Below are 11,331 nucleotides of genomic sequence, written 5' to 3' on the forward strand. Positions count from 1 at the left end.
TATTATTACAAGCTGGGCATGGTGGCTCATGCCTGTAATCCCAGCACTTTGGGAGGCCAAAGCAGGAGAATCACTTGAACCCAGGAGTTCAAGACCAGCCTGGGCAACATAGCAGGATCCTATCCCTACAACAAATAAAGAAATTGGCCGGGTGTGGTGGTGTTCAAGTGTAGTCCTAGGTACTCAGGAGGCTGAGGCAGGAGGATTGTTTGAGCCCAGGAGTTTGAGGCTGCAGTGAGCTATGATCTTGCCACTGCACTCTAGCCTGGGTGACACAAAAAGACCCTGTCTCAAAAAAACACAAAACACAAAAAATGGAAAACAAAAACAAAGAAAATAGAATCTAGGCCAGCTGCAGTGAATCATGCCTATAATACCAGCACTCTGGGAGGCTAAGGTGGGAGGATCGCTTGAGCCCAGGAGCTCAAGGCTGCACTAAGCTATGATTGCGCCACTGCACTCCAGCCTGCGTGATGGAGCGAGACTTTGTCTCTGAAAAAGACAAAAATGATTACAGCTGTGTGAGGTTGTGTCAGCCCCAGCGGACCCACTGCCTTCCCAGGAGACCCTAGACTGAAAACATGCTGGCCATGGCAGCACCCTCTGCTGAATCCCCCAGCCCTGAGGCAGCAAAGAACAGAGGGAGGTTCTGAAATGGGCAGGGCCCCAGAGGGAGGGGTACTCCTCATGGTGAACCTGCTGTCAGCTCTCCTCACAGCAAATAACCCCTTGATGACAAGGAGAAATAGATTAGAGAGAATCACAGGAGAAATTTGAGATGCAAGGCCAAACCAAAAAGCCCACCAAGGTCAAAACTAAATGAAATGTGAACTTGCAGAGCGTCTTCTGAAATCCTGCTGGGCTTCCCGGCCCCTGCTCCGGGCACTGAGGGTAGGCCTTCTAAGACAGCAGGGCCACTAGGAGTTTAAGTATTCTTTCTCACAGCTCCTCCCCAACATGCCCAAATTCCTCATTCCCCTGCCAGCTAATTTTCACTGAGGCTCAGGAACGGCCTCCTTACTGCTGAGATTTTAAGATGGTTTACTTAACAAGTATTTATGAGTGCCAACTATGCACAGACACTGTTCTAGGCATTAGGTTACAAGATACATGATCTCTCTTCTCCTGTGGAGCTTTCAGACCAGGAGTTCTCAAAGTGCGGTCCCTGGACCGGCAGCATCAGCATCACCTGGGATTCGGTAGAAAAGCAAATTCTTGGTCCCACCCCGGACCCACTGAATCAGAAACTCTGGGGTGGAGCCCAGCAGTGTGGGCTTTAACAAGTCTTCCAGGTGATCCTGATGCATGCTAAACTATGAGAACCAGGCCGAACATGGCAGCTCTTGCCTGTAAGCCCAGCACTTTGGGAGGTCAAGGTGAGTGGATCACTTGAGACCAGGAGTTCGAGACCAGCCTGGCCAACATGACGAAACCCCTGTCTCTACTAAAAATACAAAAATGATGGCACGGTGGCTCATGCCTGTAATCCCAGCACTTTGGGAGGCTGAGACAGGTGGATCTCATGAGGTCAGGCGTTTGAGACCAGCCTGGCCAACATGGTGAAACCCCATCTCTACTAAAAATACAAAAATTAGCCAGGTATGATGGTGTGCACCTCTAATTTAATCAGCTAGTTGGGAAGCAGAGGCACAAGAACTGCTCAGGAATTTGAGGCTGTAGTGAGCTGTGATTACACCACTGTGCTACAGCTTGGATATGACCCTGTTGAATAAAGAAAGCAAGAGAAAGGAATGGAATGGAGTGGAATGGAGTGGAGTGGAGTGGAGTGGAATGGAATGGAATGGAATGGAAAAAGGGAGGGAGGGAAAGAAAGAAACTAGGATGGAGAAGTGAATAAAATGTCTGGGAGGATAATGCAGTAACTGGTCTCCAAAGATGGACTATCCTTCCCAATGTCCACACCTAGTGTAGTCCTCTCCCCTTGAATCTGGATTGGCTTGTGACCTCTTTTTGACCAACAGAATGCTGTAGAGGTGATGCTATGTAAAACCTGAGGCTAGGTCAGAAAATGCCTTACAGCTTTCACCTGAATCTCTTAGAATATTCACTCTTGGGATGCCCTGTCTTAGAACCCAACTGCCATGCTGTGAGAAGCCCATACCACATGGGCAGGGCACAGGCAGGCACTCTGACAACTTCAGCTCAGTTCCCAGCCTTCTGCCAGCATCAATCACTGGTCATGTGAATGTGCCATCTTGGATATTCCAGCCCAGTTGAGCTCCCCACAGATGACTGCAGCCCCCAGAGGGTGCCATGTGGAACAGAAGAGCCACCAGCTGAGCCCTGTCAATTGCAGACTCACAAGAGATCATACAACTATTATTGTTTTAACCCACTCAGTTTTGGGAGGATAACACAGGATGAAGCAATAGAGAGGTGAGGCAGATAGGATTCTGACACTTGTGGGTTCCACCTTGAGGAAATCCCATGCATGGAAATTCAAACATACCTGGGCATTGTGTGAGCAAAGCTAGGGGTGAAGGGAGCAGCAGGAAATGCAGGTGGGAGATCGGATACTTGGGATCTGGTCCTGTTTCTTCCACCAAGTTGCTGTGTGGCCTACAGCCTAAACCTTTCAGAACATCCTCTTGACACTGAGGGGCTTGGGTCCCATTGTCTCAGCACTGGCCCAGCTCTGACATCCTTAGCCAGCTAGATTCTTTACTAATCGTCAATCAACTGGCAGATTCCTGCCTCCAAGCATTTGCTCATGCTCAGCCACCTTCCTGGGGGGTCCCTAGGCATCCTCCCTGCTGGTGCCAGTCAACTGCCAACTTCCCAGTACTATTTCCAGAGCATGGGCTTTCTGGATCCAGACCATTTGGGTTAAAATTCCAGCTCTATCAACTCCTATGTATGACGTTGATGAGGCTCTTAACCTCTGTGCCTTAGTTTTCCTTAGTAAAATAATAGTACCTCTCTCATGGGGGTAGTTGGGCAGACTTAATGTGATAATTCATGTAAAGCATTTAGCTCTGGACCTTACCCAAGTCAGCTACTGCCATGATTTCCTACTCATTGCCTGTCTCACACATTTGTGCTCCACTGAGCATGTTTCATTTGAGTCTTGTCTCTTACCCATACATATCATCTCTCTCCTGACAAGCTGCAGGCTTCTGGATGGCCTGACACAGGCTGAAACTCAGACCACAAGACTGAACACCAAGCAGGAGAGCAGACCCTGCAGGGGGAACCAGGTGTCTGCAGTCCTTTTACTAGCAGTGGGGTCTGGGCACCATCCTGGGCTCTTCTGAGCTTCTGCTTCCTTATCTATAAAATGGAGGGGACTGCCCCCACCCTGCCCCCTCCTGGGGTTGAGATGAAAACTAACTGAGATCCTGGGCACGGAAGTGCTGTGTGAACTGCCCCATGCTGGACACACGCAAGCGGCCCAGTGGCCCAGGGTCAGGACCACAGCCCCAGAAGGCAAAAGATCTGGTTCTTGCTCCGGCCGTGGGCACCTTGCGTCCCCTCTCTGGGCCTCAGTATCCCCAATGGTAAAGCAAGGTAAGGTCACTAAACCTGCAGACATGTTAGTTTAGCCTACATAGTGTCCTTCTGTAATTCAAATTTGTTTTTATTTATTTATTTTTATTTATTTATTTATTTAGACAAGTTCTTGCTCTGTTGCCCAGGCTGCAGAGCAGTGGCAAAAACATGGCTCTTTGCAGCCTCAACCTCCTGTGCTCAAGCAATCCTCTCACCTCAGCCACTGAAGTAGCTGGGACTACAGGTGCCGGCCACCACGCCCAGCTAGTTTTTGTACTTTTTGTAGAGATGAGGTCTCACCATGTTGCCTAAGATGGTCTCAAATTCCTGGGCTCCAGTGATCCTCCCACCTTGGCCTCCCAAAGTGCTGGGATTATAGGTGTTAGCCACCATGCCTAGCCCAAATCTGTTTCTATTTTTTATTTTTTTATTTTTTGAGATGGAGTTTTCACTCTTGTCACCCAGGCTGGAGTGCAATGGCGTGCATGATCTTGGCTCACTGCAACCTCCACCTCTGGGTTCAAGCGATTCTCCTGCCTCAGCCTCCCGAGCAGCTGGGATTACAAGCATGTGCCACCACATCTGGCTAATTTCTGTATTTTTAGTAGAGATGGGGTTTCACCACGCTGGCCAGGGTTATCTCGAACTCCTGACCTCAGGTGATCTTCCTGCCTCGGCCTCCCGAAGTGTTGGGATTACAGGCATGAGCCACCGTGCCTGGCCCCCAAATCTGATTTTCAAGACTGGAGGCGTTCACCTGAGATTTCTAGGTTCTCTTGGAAAAATCAGGAGATGTGGCAGCCCAAGTCCCACGGCTCCACATGGCAGATGCTGAGTCGTGGCCGTCCCCTTTAGAGAGGGGACTGTGCTCTCCCATTCCCAGCGATACTCCATTCATACCAGCCTTCATGCCCCTCCTGCTGTACTCATGAATGTCGCCTGCCTGGCCCTGATGGCCATGAGTTTGAAAACCCCAAGCAAACTGGCCTCTGGGGTTGCTTGTTGCACTAACAACCTAAGAATCTCTGCCCGCAATGATTATGACAGTCATGATTCCTGGTATCCGACTTAGCCCAGTAGAGTTCTGGGAACACAGTGGATGCTCGGCAAACATTTGGTTCCCACCCCTCCCCAGCTGCCTAGTGACCTCGGTTACCCTACAACCAGGAAGCTTGAGATGAGCCCTGGAGGGTGTGCCCTGCCAAAGCCCTGCTCCCTGCAGGCCTGTCCCCATGCAGCCTGCCCCCACACAAGTCGCATCCGTGGGGCTGGTGCAATGGAAATCAGGACCTTGTTCGGTCGGGGTGAGTCTCAGGAAATCTCCAGCACTGTGGAAGTTTCTTTCTGACCACTTGCAAATTGGCAACCCTGCCCTCTCCCTGCTCTCTTACTCCAAACAGAACCAAACTTCACTTGTGGGCAGGAATCTGCCTTCATCAGAGCAGAGATGGACAGTGTGGACTCTAGCATTGCATAGAACCAGGATTGAAGCCGAGCTCCGTCACTTGGCAGCTGTGACTGCAGCTGAAAGTCCTTCACTTCTCTGACTCACAGATTCCTCGAGTGTAAAATGGGAATAACTCTCCCACCCTGCCCACTTCAGGCCACTGGCAAGATTAAGGGGGACCTGTCTGTGGAGCATTTAGCCAGGCACTCAGTGAATGCCCTGGAAGCGGTAGCTGTCGGTATCATTGTCCCAGCCACAGAGGGACATCATGGCTCGGCATTTCCAAACCAGAAGAGGCCATTTCCCCTAACTCTGTCATGAAACCAAGAGGAAATCACAGAGATAGGGTGGATGTGCCTGGAGTCAAATTGGAACTGGGTGGGAGGAGCCCAGGACAACACAAACCTCTGACTCTTGTGTCGAAGGCACCCCTAAATTTTGCCAGCATTTAGGAGCAAATGAAAGGGTAATGAAAGAGTTTTATCTTCTTAGTGCTAGCACGCTGATGTGGTCTGAATGTTTCTCGCCTCCAAATCTGATATTGAAATTCGATTCTCAGTGTTGGAGGTGGGGCCTAGTGGAAGGTGATTGGATCATGGGGGCGGATCCCTCATGACTGGTTTAGTGCCATCCACTTGGTGACAAGTGAGTTCTCGGTCTGAGTTCACAAGAGATCTGGTTGTTTGAAAGTGCAGCATCTGCCCCGTCACTCTGTTGCTCATGCTCCAGCTATGGGATACACCTGCTCGGCCTTCACCTTCTGCCATGATTGGAAGCTTCCTGAGGCCCTCACCAAAGGCAGGTGCTGGCACCATGCTTCCTGTACAGCCTGCAGTACCATGAGCCAATTAAACCTCTTTTCTTTATAAATCACCCAGTCTCGGGTATTGAATAGCAATGCAAGAACGGCCTAATACACACACCAAGTTTCCTTGGGGAACTAACCCTCCTCCATGCTCAGTATGTGTGATTCACTGGGGTTGACACCATCACCCCAGAACCAGGCCTGCCAGTCAGATCCCTGATTCCTCTAACCACAGTGATTGGCTCACAGATGAGCATGTGACTCAGGCTAGGCCAATATGAGGCCTCTGGAATTTTTGCTGGAGCTCCTGGGAAAGAGGCCTCTTCCTTGAGCAGAGGTGGCTAAGCTGATAGGACATAGGCCTGCAGCTGCTGGTGGGCAACTTTACAAGCAAAGGAAAACACAAAAAACCTGCCTACGAGTGAAGCCAACACAGAAGAAAGCAGAGCCAAAGGCTGTAGGGAGAGTTTCTTGACAATAACATCTGAGCGCCTAGATCCAGCCCTGACTGAAGCTGTCCTCTCCTTTGGACATGTCAGATAAAAGTATTAATAAATTTCTTTTTCCGCTTGAATCAATTTGAGTTGTGTTTCTGCCACTTATAATAAAAGAATCCTGATGAATACAGTCCAGAAATACAGACTGCTGCAAACAGACTGGGTGATTAAACAAATGAATTAATAAGTGAATAAGTACATGAGTTAATAAAGGAGAAAGAAAACAGCGAGTGAGTGAATGACTGATTCAGGGAGTGAGTGAGTGAAATATGTATGCTAGGAAACAAGCCACTCTTGTCCTCTAGGCCTCAGGTACCAAAGCCTTCTGTTCCAGAAAGGCCTCCTCTATGGCTCCAGGTTTCAGGAGGTCCCTGAGTAGCCTGTGGTATTTTGTTAGGGAGGATTTGGCAGTGTGTCTCAGAGGGCATCCAAATATCTTGGGCAAGTCACTTAACCATTGGAGAGCCTAAGCTTCCTCGTCTATGAAATGGGGATAAGAAGTCTTCTCTTCCAGGGCTATCATGATGGTTAAATGAAGTAATGCACATAAAGCACTTAGCACAGGGCTTGTGCTTGAAAGCCATTTCACAAGCAATAGCACGATTATCGTTCCTGTTATTAGGCTTTCAGGCCCAGCTCATTTCTGCCCCCTCCAGGGAGTTTCCCTTGACCATCTGCACCCCTATCAGCTGCCTTCTTTTGTAGCAGAATTGACCCGTTTGCCAAGCACTTGGACACTGTCTCCTCCAGGAGTCTTGCTCAAACTTTGGGACATCGGAAACCCCAAGGGGAATGTGTTACAAATGCAGACTCCTAGACCCACCTCCTGAGGACCCTTGCCAGAGGCCTGCTGTGGGGCCCAGGAACCTGCATTTTCACCAACTCCCACACCCTGAGATGATTCTGAAGCAAGACCGTACCTGGAGAACACTCATATGTGCATCATCGCATTTTATAGATGGGGAAACTGAGGTTCAGAGGAGAACACAGATTGGCCCAAAGTCACATAGTGATTCACTGGCAGAGTTGGGCTTGCACAAGAATTTGTGCCTTGTGGACCTGGGCTGGTTCCGCCCTGCTGTGGAGGGGCTCCCTCTCTTCAGACTGAAGCTTTCCTACAGCCCCTCAGCATGCCTTTCACCACTGGGTGCTCCAATTCTGGCCTGCCTCTTGCTTCCAGAACATATGTCCACCAGGGCCCTGAACCTAGTTGGTGCTCAACAAATATCTTCCAGATGATGGGCATGACTCAGGCAGGGCCAACATATTTAGCAGATTTTTTGACAGACAGGTTGGGAATGGCATGAATGACCTGGCCATGGGAGTGATGGAATCTCCAAAATGGCACTAGGAAAAAACCGTCATGCCTTGATGGGTCCCAAAATGTATATAGTTTTTCTTGGTTTTTCTTTTCTCTTGACAGAGATGCTGAATAAACCTGCTAGAATGTAAACTCCAGCAAACGGGAGTTGCCTGGACTTTACCCTCCCCCTGCCTGGCATGCTGTAGGTGCTCAATAAGTGTTGCTGAGAGGAAGGATATGAGCTGTGGACTCTGCTTCCCACTCTAAGTAGTTTGTTCTCACTGTAGATGGTCTGATGGTAACAAAAGTGTTATGTCCCCTGGAGGTGTCCCTGCTCCCCTCCCACAACCCCTCCCAACCCCTCCAGCTGTGGAGAAGGCGGAGATGGAGAATCACGAGTTGGTCCCAGTTCCCATTCTTGGGCCATCTTCTGCAGCTCCGTGTATCTATGGGATGGAGTGTGGGTGGGAAGAAGGCTGATGCTGAAATCGCCACTGCACCGCCAGGCCTGCCATCCCCTCTGGCTGCCCGGCCTTCCTCCATTAGCACTTTGGCGCTGCAGCCCTTGGCTGAGCCCAGACTGGATTTGATTGATTCTTTATGGGCTGCAGATTCGATACCCATGCAGAGCACATGTGGAGGATAAGCCAGGGAGGAGGCGGGGGAGAGAGTTGAGGCCAGGGAGAACCTGGGGGGTCAGACCCTAACCTTTGCAAGACATGGGGCTTCCCCAGGCCTGGCCCAGACCAGGACGCCCCTTCCTGCTGCACCCTCATGCCAATGACTCTGGTTTCTAGAATTGCCCTGAAGTTCATTTCCCAGCAATGTCTGATCAAATAGGGATGTCCAAGGGCAGGCTCTTCAGATGGGACAAGCCCGGGCTAAACGTCCTCCCCAAAAAATGCAATGTGAGCATTGTTCATCTGTTATTGATTGGGAGACTGTGAGCTTTGCTTCCAAAATCTCCAATAAAACTGGCTTGGAAGAGAATTTCCTGAATCCCTGGGTAAGTGGATAAAGATGTTCCAGGAGTCTGGGGTGGTGCCGGTGGGGAAGCTCACACACCATGCACAGTTGGTTTTTCCCTTTGTTACTTAATGAAGAACAGAAAACAATCAGCCTCATCTCTCTGCATCCAGAGTCGGCTCCCTTCTTCCTTTGAGTTAATTTCCGGTTGGAGGCTGGTGCCTGCTTAGCCGGAGGGCCCCCGGGAATCTGCTCCTCTTCTCTTTTGGGTTGGGGGCTGGAGGCGGCTCATTCTTCTGGGCATCCCGTGGTAGGGGTCTTGCACCTGCGTGTGGCATTAGGCGGGTAGGGGGTTTTGAGGGAGCACAATAGAGCATTTGGGAGCTGGCTCAGTTGCTGGAGCAGCCTAGGTTACAGAGAGATGCAGCCAGCTCTGAGGTCCTGTCTCAGCCGTGACCAGCCTTGTGACCTTGGGCAAGGGACTTCAATTTCTGGGCCTCAGTTTCTTCATCTGTGAAATGGGCATCATTTCAACCCCTGCTTCAAAGGGTTATGATAAGGACTCGAGGAGGCTATGGATGTAAGGCACTTGTGTGGTGCTGGTGCAGAGCAAGCACTCAATACATGTGGGTTGTTAGTCCTATTCGCTCCTGACATCAGCAGCTGGGACTCCGCTGACTTCATGGTGAGCCCCAGAGACAAGAGAGATGGGATCACCCTTTCCTTGGACTGTTCCTCCCCTTCCTCCACCCCCACCACAGCCCCCTGGGTCACGGCCGGAAGGATGAGGACAGGCTATCTGAGTCAGAGTGTGTGTCATCTGGGAGTGGGGGGTGGGGTGCCCCTCCATGGGAGAAGAGCCTGAGGCAGGCCAGGAGCTAGAGACCTCAGCCCAAGCCAGGGTGTGGCTGGAGAGGTCAACTTTTGGCCTCATGACTCCACTGTGTGGAGAAAAGAGGCTTGGGCAGCCTCCCGCCTCCAACATCACTGATCTGGGCTTCCTTAGCCCTCACAGCAGGTGAGGAAGGTGCCCCCTACAGGTGGTCTCTTCCCCTGAGCACCTCTGGGGCTTCGAACTCTGAATGCCTCATCCCCCAGGTGAGGAGGTTGATTTTTGCCTTGTGAATCTCAAAGGGTTGTTAGACAGCTCCAATCATGGCAGGGCTCAGAGAACTGGACTGAGATCTGAGCCACCTGGACAAGTCTCAGCCTATCCCAGAAATGCGTACACACTGAACAGGTCCAAATCAACATGGCGAAGCCTCAGAGGACTGGATGGGAGTCCAACCACCACCCAAATAAGTCTGAATCTAGTAGGTTGTTTGGCTGCTCTAGGAAAAAGCTCAATGTTCTCTAGGAGATAATAATGATCCCCCTCTACACAACATAACAGTCATGACAGCTGGGTGCAGTGGCTCATGCCTATGAGCCCAGCAGTTTGGGAGGCCGAGGGGGGAGAATTGCTTGAGGCCAGGAGTTCGAGACCAGCCTGGGCAACATGGTGAGATCCTGTCTGAAAATTAAAAAAAGAAAAAACAAACAAGAAAAGTCACAATATCCAAGGAACAATTCAAAATTATTCAAGACACAAAGAGCCAGCTGGGTGCGGTGGCTCACCCCTGTAATCCCAGCACTTTGGGAGGCCAAGGTGGGTGGATCACCTGAGGTCAGGAGTTCGAGACCAGCCTGGCCAACATGGTGAAACCCCATCTCTACTAAAAATACAAAAATTAGCTGGGCATGGTGGTGGGCACCTGTAATCCCAGCTACTCAGGAGGCTGAGGCAGGAGAATCTTTTGAGCCCTGGAGGCAGAGGTTGCAGTGAGCCGAAATCGCACCATTGCACTCCAGCCTGGGCGACAAGGGCAAGACACCATCTTAAAAAAAAAAAAAAAAAAAGACGCAAAGAACCATGAAAATATGAAGGCCTCCATCTGATAAAAGTTATCTATGAAAAATCTAGAACTAAGAGCATACTTAATGGTGATAGATTGAAGGCTTTCCCCTAGGAGCTGTATCCTGCACTAAACATAAAATGAACTCAAATGGATCATATACCTATCTATAAAACATAAAAATATAAAAGTTCTAGAAGAAAGTATAGGAGGAAATCTTTGCGATCTTCGGTTAGGCAAAACTTTCTTGGATTCAGCACCAAAAGCCTTATCCATAAAAGAAAAAAAATGGTTACAATGGACTTTGTCAAAATTAAGAACTTTTGCCCTTTGAAAGACTCTGTTAAGAAAATGAAAAGATAAGCCACAGTCCGAGGGAAACTACTTGCAAATCACATAACTGTTAAGAGATGTGTATCTGGGATATATAAAGAACTCTCAAAAATAAGAAAATAAATAACCCAACAAAAAATGGGCAAAAGATTTGAACAGATGTTTCCCCAGAGAAAATATCTGGATGGCAAGTAAGCATGTGAAAAATGCTCAAAATAATCATTAGAGAATAATTACAGTCATGTATCACTTAATTAGGATATGTTCTGAGAAATATGTCATTAGGTAATTTTGTCGTTGTTTGAATATCATAGTGTTCTTACACAAACCTAGATGGTAGATGCTTCCACACACCTAGGCTATGTGGCAGAGTCTATTTTTCCTAGGCTACAAACCTGTACAGCATGTTTCTGTACTGAATACTGTAGGCAACTGTAACTCAGTGGTTAAGTATTTGTATATCTAGCCATTGAAAGGTGCAGGATTATAATATATATGGTACGAAAAAATACGGTATTATAATCGTATGAGACCGCTCTTGCATATGTGGTTCATTGTTTAACAAAAATGTCATT

At 49.2% G+C, this 11,331-nt stretch overlaps 1 annotated feature.

Annotated features, from left to right (window-relative positions):
- Window positions 4,734–5,234: an enhancer, noted in NCBI's record as "H3K4me1 hESC enhancer chr1:22702397-22702897 (GRCh37/hg19 assembly coordinates)". NCBI's record gives its function as "activates a minimal SCP1, AML or CMV promoter by ChIP-STARR-seq in naive H9 embryonic stem cells {active_cell/tissue: H9 hESC(naive)}" and the evidence as "EXISTENCE:reporter gene assay evidence [ECO:0000049][PMID:30033119]".

Source organism: Homo sapiens, chromosome 1 (assembly GCF_000001405.40).
Source record: "Homo sapiens chromosome 1, GRCh38.p14 Primary Assembly".
In the NCBI taxonomy this organism is placed as follows: Eukaryota; Metazoa; Chordata; class Mammalia; order Primates; family Hominidae; genus Homo; species Homo sapiens.